The following is a 20,285-nucleotide window of genomic DNA, read 5'->3' as shown; positions in this document are numbered from 1 at the left end:
AACCAACCAGTCTTGGAGTGCCTCTCCCCAGTGCTTCCATCTCTTCTTCTCAGGGCAGTCTTCTTTCCTTCTACCCACATCAGCTTGCCAGGAAGGGCCTGCCGACTCCTAAGGAAGGTGTTACCCCTCCAAGGAAAGGAACTTCCACACATCGAAAGAAAGGGTCAGTGCTGGCCAGGACCCTTCCCATCAGTGCTAAGAGGAGCATCCGCCTGGAAGGGAATGTGTGTCATTACAGGGCATGAGTGACGAGGAGTGCTTCCCTGGTGGGGAATTCCCAAAGAAAACGAGCACACACTCATGGGAGACACTTCTTTTATTTAGGAAGGAGGTCTTTCCTACTGGCGCCGGCTCCTGCCAGAGGTCGGGGTGACAGCAGGATCAGAAGCACTGCTCTCACACACAGTGGGAGTGGAGGATGGCTTCCCGCAGCCTCTTTAGAAAGCCCAGGAGTTCTCTTTATTTCAGAGAAGGGCATTTCTATACAAGACATCATTCCATTACAGTCGTCACTTCCAACTACAGGCTCAGGGAGACGACTCTTGATATTCATAGGTATATATTTACTTTAATCATATTTTAGAAATCAGCTCTTCCACACTAAGATTTACAATAAAAATAAAATAATTTGTTCTGTAAACTATAGTAGAAAGTTTCAAATGTCTTAAAAACTATCTTCCATACAATGGAAAAAGGCTTTTGTGTTCTTTTGGGCAAAGAAGACCCAAATACGCTGAGAGAAGACGCATGGGCGTGTTGCTGGAGTGATGCTGGAAGCACTTCTTTGCTACAGACGGTTGCTAAGAGAACAGAGTCACTTTCTCCCCTTCAGCCTGGAAGTCCAACTCTTCTCTTGCTTAAGAATCTAACCTCGGGATCTTCCAAGATGCTTAAGGCTGCTCTGCTGTTGCCTGGTCCTTGGCAGCAGCAACAAGCTCTGCGAGAGCTGAGAAGCTTTTTATGTCACTTGCTTGTAGTCCCAACTTTTGTATCTGCAAAGGCCATGAGAATGAATTATGTTACTGCAATTCAAGCTGAATATGGGGGGGGAAAAAAAAGAAAGAAAATCTTCATCCTCTACTAAACCAGAAGACAGTTCCCTGAAGACTTGTAGGATATTTTTTCCTCTAGAGCAAAGGATTTACTTGTTGTAAAATGTGAGGATTTTGGGGTCAAACACTTAGCATTCTAAGAAGCCAGTATGTTAATTTATCTCAGTTCATCAAATCAGACAGAATAAAAGCCTCTTTTGTGGGCCTAAAAACATTCTAGAAAAGAAAATCCACACTAGAGGAAATAAAAAAGTGAACTTTTAAGTAGAGAATTTTCAAAAAAGTACTGGTCTGTGCTCTTAGTTTCTTAACATATTGCCAAAAACCTTTTAGAATCAGATGAGTTGAAAACACTTTGTTTGGCAAAGCAACTACCGTGGATTATTTTGGTCACCGAGACATGGCACACTACGTTCCCACTTTTGTTTAAAAACGACAATAACAACACACACACACGTATACATCCATACACGCACACACACACACGCACCACACACACGCACAGAGAAAGATCCGGGAAGATACACACCAAGTCTCTGTCAGCATTTTGTGGTTTGTTCTGGGGACCGAGACTGCGGGAGCACCTTTTCCTTCCCCTCTCTTTCCTTTTAGTTCCCTATCCCACTCTCCTTCCTTCCTTCCCTTTCTTTTGCTCATTGGCTCTTCACGTTTCTATAACATACTTTCTTGCTTGTAAAAAGTCTTTGGGTTTTTTTGCCAAATAAAGAAACATGGCAGTTGACTTTTACCGGGATATATCTCTAAATTCATCTCAAAGCAGAAAAAAGTTGAATTTTCAGTGATGATCATGATGTGTAAAAGAAATTCCTTAGTGAGCTAGAAAATCAAGTGTCTTGTTTTGACTGCTTTTTTTTTTTTCTTTTTCTATTAACATTGTATCAGTTCTCCAAAACACCACCAAGTGTCCTCTTGTGGAAACTTTATGATTTCACTTTTTTTCCCTGTGGAAAGGCCTCCCTTGAGGACCTACTACTATGTGCGACGCTTTAACAGTTTAGAAGGCCAGTTTCTGAACATCTAGAGGTTTTATGATACTGTCCTCACAGTATCATAAAATTTCATTTTATGGTGAAATTTCATTTTCACCTCAGTGAAAAATGAAAAGACATTCATTGCACCTTATCCATATCACCTCTTAAGTGATAATATCCACATTACCATTCAACTACGTGCCATGATTCTAAAATTTGTGTTTTATAGGAAAGCTACAAAGGCCAAGCAGGGAAGCAGAGAAGTTATGCTCAAAGGATTTCTCATGCACCATAGAGGGGTAATGCTTTCAGTTATTTTAAGCTAAACCAGCAAGCATTTCAAAAGCCTGGGGTTCGCACCAATTAAGTATCAGGCACTGGACCAAAAAGTCTCACTGTAGTGAGCTCCGTGAGCATGGGCACTGGGGAAACAAGCAGATGGCAACAGCACCAGAGAGCACGCCACCAGACTTCAAAACGGGAATTCTCATATTGCCGTCTCATACTGCCTAGGGGCAAAGTAATTTGGGAGCCCCGACTCCTAGTCTTAACACAGGAAGCAATTCCCTAGCCACTGCGACAGCATCTCTGGGATCACGCGAGCCACCAAGTAACTGCCCGGCTCTCAGAATTTGGTTTCAGGCTCGCTGGAGCTGCCGGCGGCTGATGGGTTACCTGCTCTCCCAAGTACTCAACATCTAGGGCCAACTGCAGCCTGATTTTGTCGTCGTCGCTCATGCCACCACTGGGACCGACGGGGTTGGCGGGAGTGGTTTTTCTGGCTTGTTTCAGCCTTTTCAGGCTCTCTTCCATCTTCTTCACAGAGTTTAATACATCTGACACGGTTTCATAGTACCTTGAATAGAAGACACGTTTATTGGTGAAAAGAGGCATTTGTGTGTAACACCAAATAGAGTAACTGGCTTTGTGGACCAAAAAAAGAGATTTTTAAGATAAAAATTCACTTCCAACGAAAATTCAACCACGGTAAGTATTTAAGTTTCTTAAGATCATTTTATATATATATGTGTATATATATACATGTATATACGTATATATATATACACACACACACATATGGTCTTAAGTGTCTAACATAGCATTCCCTCAGAATTTAAGAAATATGTGTGTGTGTGGATTTTGCTTAAATTTTTAATCCTGAACATGGAGAAAACTATAGACCAATTTTGTCTTTCATGTATCGAGGGTGGACATCTGTAGTTCATGCCCCAGATCAAGTAACAAGTTCATTTCCAATCAGTTCTAGGAACAGTTCATCTTTTAGAGTGTAAAAGTATTTCAGAATTTTAAATAAAGCTCATTGCCTTCAAAATACTTGCAATATAATTTTCAAATTATAAATGAGTTATATTTCAAAGCTTTGTCTACAAGCTGGTTACTTGGCATCTGAAATACATTTGCCCACAAAAACTGTATTATACATCATTGTTATGTTCTAAATTAACCCATAAATGGCCACTTAAATCTTAAGTAAATAAAATATTACTGCAAAATTAATATTTAATAATTAAACAAAATTGGTAACAAAATTGAGTAACACACTTTTTGATTTGGGAAAAGCAAATTTCATTAGAAAAAGACAATCAAGTGTTTTAGAGGTTTTAGGAATCGAGTCCTTGTCAGCTGTAATTACTTTTAAATGTATGTTTTCTCTTCCTTGATTACAAGGGTTTCACCAACCTAAGTCCTTTGAGTATCTGTTATGATTAGAGCCACTTTGGACTGACAGGGTCTGAGTAACGAAAGGGCCTCCCAGAAGAATGTGGCTGGACCTGGGAGAACGGCACCTGCAGGGAACGCAGGCAGGGCCTGGAGATGCGGGGGCACTGTGCACATGGCCCGGCCCCGAGGCTGAAGCCCAGGCAGAGGAAGCCAGCCCACAGGCCGTCCACAAGGGTGTGGGGAGGGAGGAAGCAAACAGTGGGACACACACTCTGACTAATCCAGTGAAGAAGTGCTAGGCAGTCTCACTGCCTTATCCATACGCAGTGCTTGATTGCCTTGGGGGTTTCTGCCGCAGACTCTTCTAAGCAAGGCCCACAAGGTCTGCTTTTAATTTACTTACTTATGAGTGCTTTCACTGAGAGTGCCTTCTAGCCACTGCTGAATTATTGCTTGTTTGAGCTTATCCTTGTGTCCGCTCTGAAGCTGGAATAAGGGCTTCAGAGCACTGTCCACATAGGAGGAAGCTGTGGTTGGGACCTCCTGGAATGATGATGGTAGGAGATAAAGATGCACAGGAAAAAAACAGAAAAGAAACAGTAAGTTACCCAGAACTCAAGTCCAAAAGGATACTATTAACGTTCTAGTTTTGAGACACGGACAACTTCCATCCCTCCCAAAAGTAACACTGGGGTCCACAGAAAGCTGCCTGGAGAACATGAGGGAATAAGAAGAGCCAGCACAAGAAGGTGATGTCTGGAGCCAGACTGGGTTGAGGTGCTGGCTGGCACAGCCACCCACCGCTCAGGGCACCGAAACTAGGGCACTGCTTCCCGTGGCCTCACGTCCACACCAATCACCTGGTGATCTCGTAAAACTCAGGTTCTAATTCTGTTGGGGGCAGTGGGTGGAAGGGTTGAGTTCTGGGATTGTGCTTTTCTAGCAAGCTCCCACCCACAAGGTGATGTGAATGCTGCTGATCACTAGACCACTGTTTGAGAAGCAAGGATACAGGGTCAGGAATGTAACCTTTCTTAGCTCTGGTTTCTTCATCTGCAAATGACAATACTAGCACCCATTTTGTAGGAGGATAATAAGACTATGCAAAGTGTCTAGCAGAGTGAATGACCCATAACAAACTCTCAGTAAATGTATTACTGTAACAGCCTATTGAATAGAAAGGGAGAGTTGGTAGATTACTAAAGAAAAATAACATATTGGTTTCTCTCTCCCACTTCCAAGTGGCAGCTTCAAATCAGACAATAATTATTGAGCAAATATAAAATGGCATAATATTTGCATATAACCTATGCACATCCTTCAGTATAGTTTAAATCATCTTTAGATTACTAAAATTTATATTTTTTTTAATAAAAACTTTTTTTGTGTGTGGAGACTGGATGTCACGACATTGCCCAGGCTGGTCTCAAACTCCTAGGTTTAAGCAATCCTCCTGCCTCGGCTTCCCAAAATGCTGGGATTTTGGTGTGAGCCACCACATTTGGCATGTATTATTTTTTATTGTTGTAGTTTTTTTTCCCCCTAAATATTTTCGATCCACAGTTGGTTGACTCTGTGGATGCAGAACCTGGGGATAAGGGGCCAACTATGCTTCCAGTAACAATAAAGAGGGAACAAGATATAAAGTGTGGAATACCTGATATGGAGACAAAAACGTATAGGACTTTAAAATGTTATTAAAATGCTTTCTTCTGAAAAACCTACTTTTCCTCAAGACCAAAAGGAAACTGAGTATATCCTTAAATACTTTTAGGATAGGATGGGAAAGGTCTAACTATTTCAGTTTGTGGCCCAGAGCCCCTGACCACCCCTGCCCAACCTCCCTCTCTTCATCAATACCATTCTCAGAATGGGATGAGCTCAGTCTGTCTCAGGCTACCCTGGGAATCCGCCGCTTCCTTCCTTCCTTCCTCTTTGGCTTTCCTAACACACACTTCCCCACCTCAAAATTCTCTCCCATAAATGGCGCTGACCTTATTGGTTCTTCGGTAAAGCCTGGGAACCTCCAGGGCGCTTTTTAGGAAACCGAAGCAAGAGTCACTTAAATCCTGGATGATCTTGCTACTCAAGGAGGGCACACAGGCTGAAAAAGAGCTCTGGGAGTCCTCCAGGGCTGCTGTTGAGATTAAAGACTGGATTTAATCATCATGCTCAGGCCCAGACATGAACTTCATTTGAAATACTGTCACAGCATTTACATTGTGTACTATAATAAATCAGATCAAATGAATTAAATAAAACATCTTATTTAGGTAAGTTATAATACAGAATAGAGAAACAACCAAGGATTTACAACTACAGAAGAAAATGTTAAATATACCCTACAGTCTCTGAGATTTTATTTTAAATCATTTCTTATTCAAAGATTTGCTTAGTCAAGATTCATTTTTACCTGAGATAGAAGAAAAATTCTTAAAGCCAATCATTTCAAGTTTTGGCTTGATTATTTCCAAGAGTTCTGGAAGCTGAAATAAATATGCACTTTATATATTCAGTTACTTTTTATAAATCAAAGGAAGAGGCAATTCTATTTGCATCTACAAACTCTAGAATTTGCTAATGAATGGTGAACTTAAAATCAGGAATTTCAGTAATTTTCATCAAAGGAAAGAAACAGTTTTAATGCTTTTACTATAAAAAGATTTCAACAACATGAGAAATCACATGGTTTAATGGCTATTAACAGGCACAGAGAATAAGCAAAAACATTTTCTACTCTATGGCGCTCCATAATACGAAAATAGCTCACAGTAAAGACCATATTCTTACTGAAAACATACAAATTTTAAAATTCAAAACAGTATTTATTCAAGCACCACAAAATATCTAAACTTGAGGAAAGCAGAATTGTGTATCAGAGGACTTAACCACTAAATTCACCCCACAGAGTTGATGTTACAAGCAAAAACATACGGATCTATACAGAGAAAAAAGAGGAAGAAGTTTTAATATTTTAGCACTTTCAAAGTATAGCTGAAGATTAAACATCAACAGAAAATATCGGGGTAAATTAATGTAAAGTAACTAAAATCCAGCCCACTAAAGATCATGCCTGACCAGAATAAGGTGAGCTAATGGGAAAAAAAAAGTGGGGGAGCATGGCTGCTCAAGCTTGTCCCATCACTACTGAAAAGGAAGCAGGGTGGAGGTGAATACAATACAGAATGCACTCCACACAGGAGGAGAAGTGCACACCCTTAGAAACCCTATATGGACATGACCTGTCAGGGGAAGCTGGAGAGACACCTAGAAAGGGAGGTGAGTGAGAGGTTCTCTCTTGGGGTACCCACGGGTCCCCCAATTTAAGCCCCGTAAGGCCCAGTGGTGTTTGCCTTTTACACATACTACCTTCTGTGAAAACATTAAACCAAGCACCTGGAATTATTCTGGGACACAGGCTTACCTGCTCCTGAAGCTTGTCCAGGTCTGCAACCACATACACGAGCTGAGTGCGGGAAATGGAAACCACAGGCTTTGTTTCCGAAGGACCACTTCCTTGGTCTTCAGTGTTTCCTTGGGTGATGGAAGGTTCTTTGCTACCAGTTACCAAAGGTTTCTTGATCTCCTTGGGACTTTCATTAGAAATGGGCCTGAGTGAAAGCTGAAAAAGGATTTCACTGATTAACTACTTTCACACTAGCAAGATACATGAGCATTTATATATTACATATGTGCGCGTCAATAACTCACCATTAAATGCTAGCTGTCTACATAGCATTTAGTAAAAACTTACTAATAAAAGTATACAATATTGTATCTACAGGAAGGAGTGAAGCACTAAGAGAGAAACAAGGACAAACTACGGCCCCAGGTACATTTACCTTCTGGAACTTGTCTAATTTCTGGTGATAAAAATAACGTGAAAAATAAAGTGCCCAAACCACAATAAAATTAATTTTGGGGACATCACAGGTTTTAAAAAAATCAATTATATTAGGCAAATAACATAGCGTAATACATTTGTAATTATAATTAACAAGGGTAAAATATCAAAATCCAAACCTTCAAATACAAAAAACAAAGTGTTCTTTGTGTCACATTGTTTATAAGGGAAAAAAATCAAAGAGAAGTAAGCTAGCATCAAGAAAAGAATGGGATAGAATGGGATAATGAACATTCAGGGCAAAGTGATCTACTAGAGATAAACGGAGAATTCCTGGCTAGCAAGAACGCATGCTTAGCCTAATTGAATAATCGTCCTAACCCCACTCTGTCAGGGGAATCATACAGTGGTCTTCAGAAACAGCTGACAGCCCAGGGTGGTCCACTAAGACCCTTCTGAGCGGAGGAAAGGCAAAAGGGAAACACAAACTAGATTTCACTAGACTCCCATTACCTGACAGGAGCTTTAGTCCAAATAAATCCTCACAACAGCCACATATAGAAGCTGTTTTCCCATTCTCCAGATGAAGACTCAGCTTAATTTCTCCAGGTCCACAGAATTAAAAAGTTAAAGAGCCAACGTTTGACATTAGCTCCAAAGCTGACACTCTTTCCATTAAAATACACTGCAAGAGGATGACTGGGATCCTTTCCTACTCCAAATTACAAAGATTTTACTCAAAGTGTGCTGTTTTCTCCCTGTTGTCTTTTTTATTTTTTAGAACACATCTCCTTTGCATACTCCTCACACTGCGATGACTGGTTTACCTGAGTGTCTGTTACTCACGCTGTCCCCAGAGAAAGGGCAGCACTGCAATCCGAGGTCCCAGCAAGGACCCGCCGGGCTGGTGCTCAGCACAGGACTGGACCAACGCCCTTGTGGATCAAGAATTTCTGGGTTTTTGTAGGGTATTAATAAGTCATCAGAGCATGTGGATATTTAATATATTTGATTATTTGAAAAGGGAAAAGGATATTCAAAAAAAGAATTTTAATACCTTTTTATGTTGATGACAATATCATTTTGTAAACTTCCAAATATTAAGTATTAAAATGCATATATTTTTATTTCTAATCATTTTCATAATCACCTTGAAATTAAAATGAACATCTTTTTCTTTTTTTAAATTTGGAGGCAGTTCAAAGATTCTGGTTTTGAGAAGGAAAAAAATGGACTTGCCAGAGTGGTGCTTTTCAACAAAATAAGTTTGTGATAATAGACACCCCTAAATGCAATGCTCGCAGGAGTAAAAATGAAACACAGACACAGAGCTGGAGACAATCTTGGGAAGTCAGACTACTGTGGTCCTCTGAATTAACCTCTCATGGTATTTACAAAAATCTTAGGGAGTTAGCCTAACATATCTTTAATTTTTATCAGTATTGATTATGGATGAGCTCCACAGCCAGCCCTTACCTCATTGACAAACACAGAGTATCGTGCCAAAATCTGCAGAGTGAGTCTCCACAGGCGATGCACCAGTAATGGCAAGAACATCTCATCTGACCAACACCTCCTAAGGCTGCTCCAAGTTCTATGAGAAGCCAAAAGGCAATACGGACTTTCAGCTAGAGAAAAAACAACAACAACACACATTTAAGGAATTTCAGGCAATTTTAGGCTATAGTCTAATGTGAGACTTCCGATGTACGATTCAAAGGTAAAGAAAATGGCCTTCTGAAGAAAACCATGTGGTCAGCAAAGCTGTTGGAGGCACAGGGATGACGAGTGGCCACAATCCAAGTTCCCTACCACATCCTTCATGCCACGCACAATTTTACATGACACTATCTCCCAGGTGTTTGGATAAACATCAAATACATATAGCATTCAGAAATAACGTTTAATAGGTACTTCATACCAAATCGACAAACATGGGCTGGAGTGGCAATCACTTGCAGAGGTTTAAACTTCAGTTTCAAATTTGTCCTATTTCACAAGAGTCTTCCTCTATCTCAACATACTTCTTATTTTTATAGAAGAAGTTAACTACATATGACCATTTTTGGCAAAGACAGATGAAAACTAACTCTGAGGCTAAAATTGATTCAAAATGACAGTAGACTTAGCTGTATAAAAGAGAGTGGAAATTTAAGTTGAGGAACCTAGATATCAGCACACAGTATTTCAGTGGTCACTAGGAATAAATATATGATACAAAAATTAATGAGGCTGAAAGGGTATGTCAACATGTACTGGTAAGTCCACATACCTACAACTGTTACCTGCCCAACATCCTAGGATGGGCGGCCAGGGCACAGGAGGCCCAGGATGCATGCTCCAGCTGTGAGTCATTCTCAGTGAGACGCAGGAGCACCTGACCCTCTACCATGCAGACCAGTCCTCAGCCTGGGAGGAAGGCAGATCACAGCCAATTTGCTAAAAAAAACCAGCTGTTCACATAAGCACACCAAGGGGCCATATCCCCTGGACAAGTTATATTCAGGAATGAAAATGAGGTCTGTTTCCTATATTCTTATTCATTTTTCATCTCTATAAAGCAAGAACTCTATACACCAAAACTATTTGGTTTATTTTTACCTTATTAAAAAAAGAAGTCAGGCTGGGTGTGGTGGCTCATGCCTGTAATCCCAGCACTCTGGAAGGCCAAGGGGGGGTGAATCACTTGAGGTCAGAGTTCGAGACCAGCCTGGCCAACATGGTGAAACCCTGTCTCTGCTAAAAATAAAAAAATTAACTAGGCGTGGTGGTGTACACCTGTAATCCCAGCTACTTTCGAGGCTAAGCCAGGAGAATAGCTTGAACCTGGGAGGCGGGGGCTGCAGTGAGCCAAGATCATGCCATTGCACTCCAGCCTGGGCAACACAGCGAGACTCCATCTCAAAAAAAAAGCAAAAAAAAGAAGTCAAACTAAGTGATTTTTAAGGTCCAACTTACTGTATGATTAAAAAAAAAAAACAGTAAAAGTACGCTCAGAATACTGCAATCCAGATGACTTGGTGAACTGAATGAACTCATTTAGGATACCATGCCACTTATCACTTTAAGGGAGTTACCTGGGGCATCTTCCAGGACATCTGTAAGTGCTGCTTCTAAGGATCCCGCTATTTCTCTAAATCTGAGATAAAAACAAGAAGAAGAATTAATGTTTATGACTCTGACAGATGCCTTTCCCTATCCATTCTCTGTTTTTCCTAAGTAACAGGAACTTCCTCTGTCACTCACTGGTAAGTCCAGCCTCGGAATGCCTATTCTCCCAGGCTTTTTTTTTTTTTTTTTTTTAACTGAACAAGAAATCGTGACTAAGCCACTGTTATATAAGGGTTCTCTGTTATTTGCAGCTGGTCTGAATCATAACTTACCCCATGTTTCTCAAATTAAACAAACTGCCAGTTAAGTCTCCATCAAGAAGTTGTTGCTGGTGAGCAGCACCTGATTATGATCCTCTATTCACTTCAAGGCCATAAAACTTTGGTTCCTCCAACCCATCTATCTTAACACCATCACAGGAAGGTAAACGTCCCCAAGCTAAGAAAGCTGCATTCTGTACCTGTGTTGGCAGCTTGAGAAAAATCACAGGAAGTGGCCAGTTAAAACTAGAACTCACTGCTTGGTGCTCTTCTAATCTGTGACCCTCTCCCACGTCCATGGTACTTGCCCTTCGGGTTCTACGGCTGTCTGTACCAGCGCTTCCTAGATGTGCGTTCTTTTTTCCCTGATGACAGCTGGCTCACCTGGCACCTCAGCTCATCCTGTCACAGACTTCTGTTCTAATAATGGATATGGACATGTTTTTATGACTTTGTGAAAGGCAAATGTGTTATATAGTTTTTTTAAGCTAGCTGCTTTTGCAGGCATTGTTTTCTAACTATATAACTCTTGCAATTTCATATATCTCTTTACTAGCATGCTCTTTTGTCACCTGCTAATTGCCTTACTAGTAATGAATTCTGATGCATGCTCAATATCAATTTATCCAACTGATATTAAATTATTTTTTATAGTACATAATGTGCTTTTACAAAGCGGTTCACAGACTGAGCTAAAGGCAACTGTCTGAAGAGTAAAAAGAACAGCTTGAGACAAAAAGCAGCAGCCCTACCCAACACAGCTGAGCACTGAAGACACTAAGGCTATCCTGTACCATTGTAGCTGGCTGGTTTCCAGTAGCTGTCCCGTCTGCCCCATGGAAGGAAAGGAACTCTAATTGCCCAGTGAAGCTTACAAAAGGCTAGTCTTTTCAAGCTGCAGTTGAGAGGTACAGAAGGAACAAGTGACAGATGGAAAAGTGGGATAAGAGAGCACTGGAAACTAGCCCAGGAACAGCAGTAAGAGGAGGCAGTGACACTGAGCACGGGAACAAGGGAGATGGGATTGCTCTGCACCTGGGAGAGCAAACCAGCACCTAGAGCTCAATCTCAGACCCCCAAGTCCTGCCTTTTTTCAAAATCTAAACAAAATATAGGAAGTTAGCCCTGATACAGAAAAGGCCTGATAGCTGGCACAGCACTGTTTATATCAGGGAAAAACTGGAAGCAACCTAAATGGCCAAAAGAAGGAATATGCTTATGGAACCTGAGATATATTCAATGGACTAGTATGCAGTATTAATGTGGAAGCTTGATGCTATTTTCCAATAAGGAAAAATAGGTATAATTTAGTACTATCCAAAGACATGGGACACAAAGTTTTATGTATATTTATGATAATTCTGAAAAGCATAGAAATGAAAAAGGACCAAAGAAATGCAGCAGAGCCTTGATCCCTGCACTTCACAGAGACGTTCTGCCTGTCTGTGAGCAGGGACAGTGATACATGATTACAACTGCCTGAGTCACTTGGCCTAGGTGTGCTCCCCAGCCAGGGGACCAGCCCCTCACACAGCTCTGCTGTGCAGTCACTTCCAGGAATGAAGCAACAGATCATATTTCTTCTTGGAAAATGGCCAAAAGTGAGAGGGAACCTCTGCTGAAATCTGAAAAGCCATGCTGTGGTTTTCATGTGCACATCGAATGTCATTCTACTCTCAACAGGATCCATGTAAGAAGGGCAACCCCAAATACAAACATTTCTAAATTCTTAAATATAGGCCTGGGGAAGGTCTCTAGACATATTCCTCCACGAACATCACAGGTCTACAATAATACTTAAATAAAAATAACAATGGCGATAATAATAGTGATGCCTATTGTTTTTTTTCTCTGAAGTATTGGAAACATCATTAAGTGCACCCGTCTCTTGTGGATACACATGTCTGAGAGGAGTGCAGGAACAGGAAAGGGCTACTTGCACCTTAATACTACTATGTAGATTCCACATCATAAGACTGTGTTCAGCATATACTATGTAATACAGTATATACATGTGAATGTACTATAAAGATTTCAATTTTAAAAAGAACAGCAAACTGAAATTTAGGCTTTAGCATTTAAAGAGCTAACACCTGCAGTTTCCAGGCAGCCACTGACTCATTATAATTTGGGGCTGTTTTGATCACATCTGCATTTAATTTCTTCCTATGAGATACTAAGTCCTCATCTACTTTCCAATATGCCTGTAGGTGCAAATGAAATGTAGACACAGTGGGGTCTCAGGAAGAGTGAGAGGATACAAAATGTGTTCACAAGAATTGTGGTGGTGGCTGGGGTGGGGAGGTGGCCTTTTTCCTGAAGGTGATTGGGATGTGGGTATATAGTCAGATCCAGGAGCAGAAAACTATTACTGAGAGTAATATTTCTTCTTAGGAAATGTCCAACCATCACACCCCACTGTCTTTAGGTTTACTTCAAATGACCTTGAAATGAATCTGATGACAATGCAACTCTGACCCTAATCATGTTTGCGGAACTTTTTGTCATCCTTCAGAGCAAACAACTCAACACCTGATAAAAATCAATAGAAAAGTTCTACAAAGTCTTAATGGAATTTACTTTTTAGATGGAAAAACAAATGTACTAAAGACAAGTTCTACACTTCCGTAACTCAAACGTGTTTTTTTAAAATTTCATGAATTTTAAATAAAAGAGGTTTTTTAAAAAAGGCTAATCAGCTCCTTTGAAGGCTTAAGGCTGAAATCTGGTGAAGGTAAAAAAGACTTTCAGGGAACTGGCTGAGTTTCAATGTAGTTTAAGGTCCAATTACCAGCTTTGAGAGAAACTGAAATGGAAGGGAGATGCAGCTGAAGCCAAGCTGGGCCGTCACCAAGGGGCCCAGCCTGGCAGAGCCAAGAGCATGGGCTGAAATAGCCCATGGGAGCTCCAGGAGGTGCAGGGGTGGGATGGAAGAGTGAGGTGATGCTGCATGGGTCCCAGGGTCTGAGGAAAAGGACCAGGAAAGTTTGGAGGCAGGAAGCAGAGGAGTATGTTTGTGAGGTGACAGCATTAGATAACTAAAGCAATCTAACTCCAAACCTGGACGACAAAAAGAGATGGGGAAATGTAAACATTATTTCTACATAGCAGTATCATTTTATAAAATGATGCTTTGCTATTTTAAATCCTGCTCACAAATCAAAAAGGTTTCTTGCCCTGGCTTGATGTTGATTATCATATACCAACTATTTCCAGTGCATCCCATTAATATCTTAGATGAACAAATCCGTAATTTCCTGCTGAGAGACCAACTACATGATGATGCAACCTTGGAAAATTTAGCATAAAACACAGTATTGTAAGTGAAAGGGCACCTTACTACTTCATTCTGAGAACTGTGATTTCATTATAAAAAGATCATTACATACATTCTCAATCATCTCAAGCAATTATCATCAGGGTACCTAATTCTTGATTTCCCTCTCTGTAATTATTCCTCAGAACGCTAGGGGAAAGGACTGCATCATAATTAATGAAAGCATCCAGCAATTTAAATAAAAAAGCCTATGATTCTTCAAAGAGCATTTCAAGTAAAATCCATTCTACGGAAGAACATACCATGACCTCATTCAAGAGAATCTGCAAAAATGACTCTTATCATGTTTTTCCAATGCAGTGTATGATAAGGGTTCATCCTAAATTTCCCCCAAGTATTTTATAGAATGGCTTATTGACAAAGGTGATATCATCATGAAACCTGGAAGAAAAATGTCACCATTTTCCTGAATAGAGGGTACAAATGTCACAAAGACGATCAGGGAGGCTGAAATAATGACCAGGCTTCTCATAAACTAATAGATGGAACCAGCTGCAAAGAACACTTAAAGCTCTGCTTCTCCCCATTCCCTCTAGGGGAAAAGTATCTCAGACGAGCAAAAACAGATGTGAGACAGGTTCATTATTTGAGGCAGACGATGAAATAGGGAAAATGGAAAAAAAGAGCTGCTGTATAACTCCTACTTTCTCTTTTCACAATGAATGAGGACATGGTGGGTGGGAATGAGGCTGGGCTTGGAGTCAGCTCCTTCCAACTCTTGTGTTCTGAGCTCTCCAATTACCAAAAAAGAAAACTTATCTTTTTGTCATGCAAGCCAGACTTTGGCAACCATAATACTTCTTATATCTCTTTCTCCACTTTCAATTTTGTCTCCCAAAGCTTATTATGATGATCAGAGAAAAGGAGCCGCTAACTGAGGCAACATCCTTAACTGGCATTCCAATTCTGTTTTAGAAGGGTGCGGGGCGGGGGCGGTGAATAGATGACCAACCTTATTTGAAAATAAACAGGCAAGTTCCACTTCTTATTGAAGCTGTGATAGGCAGGATGGGCTCTTAATCTCTTTACACTAGCCTGTGATCCACACTGCCGTTCCAATCTTCTGACAAAATCCATACTTATGGTATATTTCTAAAATAAAACAAAAGGAAAATTTTCATTATTAGAACACTAACTAGAACAGGGAGCATGTACTGAAAACTGTAATCAAGATAAAGAAGCTCAACACGTAAGAATCACAGTTTCTAGAGTTAACAAGGAACTTACAAGATCTTTCTTCCAATGTCCCCATTTAAAGATACATAAATGCCCAAAGTGGTTCTGTGATATGTCTTCCGTGTCTTCCATGGCAAAGCCCATCTGAGACCCAGGCACTCTAAGTCTGGTGCTCTTTAAATGGCAGTGCTCATGTTCTAGGGCCCCCTACCCCAGCCCACTGGAATTAGAATTGACAGCAGATTAAATGACATAGTTCGTCATTGCCTCACAAAGGAGAAAGAAGGAGAAAATTCTGAAGAAGAAAGAGAGAGAAGAGAAAGAATCAAACCATGTGAGTATTCACTTCATTTTTATAAATAAGATAGCATGAAAACTGACAGGGAGATGTACCAAAACCATTAAGAGTGGCAGCTAACTCGTAGCATTTATCATCGACACACTGTGATTAGAATTGTCTTATTTAATTTAACCCACAAAACGACCCCACAGGGCAACTACCATCATCATCATCATCATCATCCCCATTTTACAAATGATGCTTCTTCTTCTGTTGAGGCTCACAGAGAACCTGCTCAAAAGACAAGCCAGGCGGTAGAGGAAGCAGAATGCTAGTCAGTCAGTTGACCAAAACTGCGGCTGCATGTTGCTTTTGTGGGTACTTTATTCCCGAAGCCCCCAGGCTCTAAGAACACTGTTGAATTTTTTATGTTCTTCTCAATTAAAAGGGGCTCAATCCAGGGTCATCAAACCATTAATCTAAATATGCTAAAGTCTGTGCTTAGAAAGGATCTTACAGTAGTAAAAACTACAGGCTTTAAATTTATTTCAAATGGTTTTGGGCAAACTTATGTTATCCCAGAGGGTGGTCTAGGTGTGTGGAGTTGAGACAAAAATAGGGATTATTCTTCCCTTTTGGGACAAAACTATACCTCTGCATATAATGGATGCTAAAACAAATATAAAGATATTGCCCTCTTACAAGAAACACATTACATTAAGGCTTAAAGCTGAAAGTATTTCTGGAAATAAATGGATACTATCTGCTGGAAACTATACTCACAAATGTTAAGTATTAGCCTAAAATTCTAAAGTCAAGTTCTATCAGAAAGGTTCATTTCTGAGCTGAAACATTTCCTGAGTCAAACATGGTCAATACGAGTCTCTAAAGCACACAGCAAATTGTAAAGCGTCTTCACATTTGCTAGTGCTTAAAGCTTACAATTGCTTCTGCTTAAAGCCATTATTTCACTCTCCTTATGCTATCTTATTTAAAAAGCCCTACTTTTTAAAATTACAAATGTTGCTATAAAATTTATTGAAAATGGCACAATCCTGTTATTCAATGCACTGTAACATGGGACAATCAGCCAACAGATAAGGTAAGTTGCATTTCTGGAATGGTAAACCTCCCAATGTGTTGTCTTATCTGTGGGAAACCTGCTGGGCCCCAGGCTGTCTGTTTATGCTTATCTTGTGCCTCTCTACACTTAAAAAATTAATAAACAAATTCGCCAGGGAGGCTAGACAAACAACAAATATGACTTCTAGAAATAAAAAAATATGATAATTAACCAGAAACTCAATGTGCAGGTGGAAAAGAGTTTAGACACAACTAAAGAAGGAATTAGTGACCTAGAAGACAGACTGTGAAATTATCGAGAATGCAGCAAATACAGAGGATAGGGTGAGCCTGTCTAAACAAGAGATCTAGATGGAGATGATAGAGGAATGAAAGAAAAGCACAATTGAAGAAATAATATATAAAAATGTTCCAGAATGGATGAAAGATACCAATTCTCAGATTCAGAAAACCTATCAAATCCTAAGGATAATAATAAAAAAAGAAGTTCTACTGGACATATCATAGCAGAACTTACTTAGCACACCAAAGTCACACAGAAGATCTTAAAAGCAGCCAGAGAAAAAAGGCATTAACTACAAAGAAATAACAATTAAATTAACGGCTAACTTAATAATGCAACTCAAAAGACAACACTCAAAGTGCTGAGAATTCTGTTAATACATCCAGCAAACTGACCTTACAAACAGAAGCAATACAGTTATTTTCAGACAAACACAAACTGAGAAATTATTAAAAAAATAAATTATCATCAACAGTTAGAAGACTAAAAAGTCTTCTAACATGAATTTCAGAAGAATGATTCAAGAAGGATGAGCTGACATTCAAAAATGAACAGTAAGCAATGACAAACATGTAGGGTAATTCCCAGAGGACGATGATGATTTAAAACAATAAAAATGACCAGTTTTTAAGATTTTAAAAAAAACGTAATAGAAGTACGAGCGAGGAAACAAAAATATATACTATGAGAAGGGATGGTTGGTGTTAATGTGTTCTAAGTTCCGCGTATTGTCCAGGAGAAGGCTCGAGAACATAAATCAACTTTAGATTCCATTAAGTAACCAGTAAGGTTACTCAATATGTACAGAAATAAAGGGCACAACTTCCAAATTAGTAGAGGGGACAAAATGGAATAAAGATGGAAAACAGATCCCCAGAAGTCTAAAATACGAAGAAGGTGAAAAAAGAAGGGAGGAAGAAAAGATGGGAGGAAGGAAATAAGGGAAGAAAACTGGAACAAAGAGAAAGTATAAAATAAGAGTCAAATGCATTGACAGTTAGAATCACTGTAAATTTAATAAAGTACCTAATTAAAAGACAAAGATTATCTCACTGCATAAGAAACCAAAAACTGAAATCCAGGGAAGAAGAAGGAAGAAAAGTGCCAAGAGGCTGAGCCTTTAAAATGATAGAATGGAAAGCAAACTTACACATTGATTTTTGAAATCCTAACCATGAAATCTTTTAAATAATGATTTCTTTTTTAAGAGGGCGGGGGAAGCAGGGGTGGAATAGGGCTGGACATGGGGGCTGAAATCCTAGCACTTTGGAAGGTTGAGGGGGAAGGAGTGCATGAGGCTAGGAGTTCAACACTAGCCTAGGCAACATAGTGAGACCCATCTCCACAGAAAAAGAAAAAGAAAAGAAAAATTGACCAGGCATGGTGGTGTGCGCCTGAAATCCCAGCTACTCAGGAAGCAGCCTGAGGCATAGGATCGCTTGAGTCCAGGAGTCGAAGACTGCAGTGAGCTATAATTGTGCCACTGCACTCCACCCTGGGCAACACAGTAAGACCCTGTTTCAAAAATAGTAATAGTAATAATAAAATAAAATATAAATTAAAAAAACAAATAAATATTGGGGCTTTCTAACTTTTTAAATCATAAAGGACATTTATGTAGTATATTTTAAAATCCAACCAATTCCTTTGTACTTGCTGCTGGAAAACATTCAGTGAATACTTTCTGTTTTCATTCAAAATTATATGGCAGAGATGTACAAACTTAATTTTTCACAGAAAACTGCAAAAACACTGGCTTTTAATGGTCCTCAGGATGTTTTTAAGAAAGTTAGAAAATAATGTACATTTCTACTCACACTTGTATCTAGCCTTAATTATACTTTATATTATAAAATGAAAATGTTCTTATTCCTAAAAGTATCATACATCATATCTTGGATAAAACGATGTGTGTGTTTTAAGGTTAAATGTTCACTTAGCAACTCAAATTTTTATTTTTAATAAACCACAGAACCAAGACTAAGTAGAAGAGAACATGATATTTCTCCAGTCTCCGGTTAACATCTTCAAGAATCAAGACGACGGGCGGGGAGATACCTCATGAAATGCATCGGGATTCCCAGGATTAAAAAGCGAGGGTAACTTTTCTTCTAATCCTTGTACTATTTGTGGCCAAACAGAATTCACCAAAAAGTCATATCCAGGAACAGTATTGCCTTTTTCACTGTAAAATAAGGGCACATATCAGTAAAATATACCATAATCTACTTACAAAGAGCAAATTTCCACTGTGTTGCTTCTGCCAAAAGATCCGCAGTCTAAAACTTATTTCAACTTTTTAAAAAAACCGTATTTGTAATTTAGTTTGTTTCCAGACTCAAGTTTCTATTTCACTCCTTAATTTCAGTCTCACCTCAAACCTGGCAAATCTCCTAGATCCTGACTCCTCCAGCTGGTGTCAAGGCTAAGGGAAGCCACATAAAATCACCTTGGTACACTTTTCCCTCTAAAATACTTCCCAACCCCTTTATACTCCTATCTTGGAAACAAAAAGTACAGTAGTCTAATACCACAGGAAAAATAACCTTCACATTACTGAACACCACTAAACCACACAGCATTGTAAGTTATGCTAATTTATAAATTACTAACAGCTTTGTATTTACTAAGCTATCTCTAAGATTACTTTCAGTTCTAAAATTCTATGACTATCAAATGTGAAATCTTATCACAAATCTTGACACAAAAACCTGTTAACAGATTAATGTTTTATTTTGTGTGTGTGCCTGTCTTGTTTTGTCTTTTTTTAGCACCAGACTTTTAAATTCCAAATTCCCAAATGTAGATGACAGGCAGCACTGACAGAAAGCATGCGCTTTGGAGCTGGTGTGCCTGATTCAGATATTGGAGGGCGGGCAAATCATTTAACTTCTCTGTGCTTGGTTTCTTCATCTTTAAAATGGTGATGATCATAGTACCAACTTCACAAAGTCATTATAAGAATTAATATTTGTAAAGTACTTAGGATAGTGCCTAACATATAGTAAAAGCCCTATGTTAGTAACGGTTAAATAACGGAGATTCCTTAAGTCGCTCACAAACTCAAAGATCCATAAACATCCATTCTAGGCAAACACCATTTCACTAATCTGCCCACTTTGTTTCATATTGGGTATTCTGCTCTATTTCAAGGTAATTTTTTAAAATGGCAAACAATTTAATA

The 20,285-nt window shown here is 39.4% G+C and overlaps 1 protein-coding gene and 1 long non-coding RNA gene across 4 annotated transcripts in view; one reads left to right on the top strand and one right to left on the bottom strand.

Annotated features, from left to right (window-relative positions):
* Window positions 1-301: 301 nt before the first annotated feature.
* COG2 (component of oligomeric golgi complex 2) overlaps window positions 302-20,285 on the bottom strand; it is a 51,502-nt gene continuing 31,518 nt past the window's right edge. For 2 of the 3 annotated variants that reach the window (NM_007357.3, XM_047449445.1), the window contains 10 exons: window positions 19,160-19,286; window positions 15,232-15,371; window positions 10,649-10,710; window positions 9,048-9,199; window positions 7,152-7,349; window positions 6,141-6,213; window positions 5,722-5,864; window positions 4,131-4,270; window positions 2,720-2,900; window positions 302-992 (listed from right to left, as the gene is read on the bottom strand). In NM_007357.3, the coding sequence (NP_031383.1) occupies window positions 891-992; window positions 2,720-2,900; window positions 4,131-4,270; window positions 5,722-5,864; window positions 6,141-6,213; window positions 7,152-7,349; window positions 9,048-9,199; window positions 10,649-10,710; window positions 15,232-15,371; window positions 19,160-19,286 (1,318 nt within the window). In that variant the 3' untranslated portion in view covers window positions 302-890. The remainder of the gene's footprint in view (window positions 993-2,719; window positions 2,901-4,130; window positions 4,271-5,721; window positions 5,865-6,140; window positions 6,214-7,151; window positions 7,350-9,047; window positions 9,200-10,648; window positions 10,711-15,231; window positions 15,372-19,159; window positions 19,287-20,285) is intronic. The other variant, NM_001145036.2, reaches the window with a different exon arrangement.
* Window positions 17,911-19,339, top strand: LOC107985358 (uncharacterized). The gene is made up of 2 exons (XR_001738517.1): window positions 17,911-17,998; window positions 19,074-19,339. It is a non-coding gene; the product is annotated as an uncharacterized LOC107985358 (long non-coding RNA).

This window comes from Homo sapiens, chromosome 1 (genome assembly GCF_000001405.40).
Source record: "Homo sapiens chromosome 1, GRCh38.p14 Primary Assembly".
Taxonomy (NCBI): domain Eukaryota; kingdom Metazoa; phylum Chordata; class Mammalia; order Primates; family Hominidae; genus Homo; species Homo sapiens.
The sequence above is the reverse complement of the archived record's forward strand: the minus strand, read 5'-3'. Positions and strand labels throughout refer to the sequence as shown.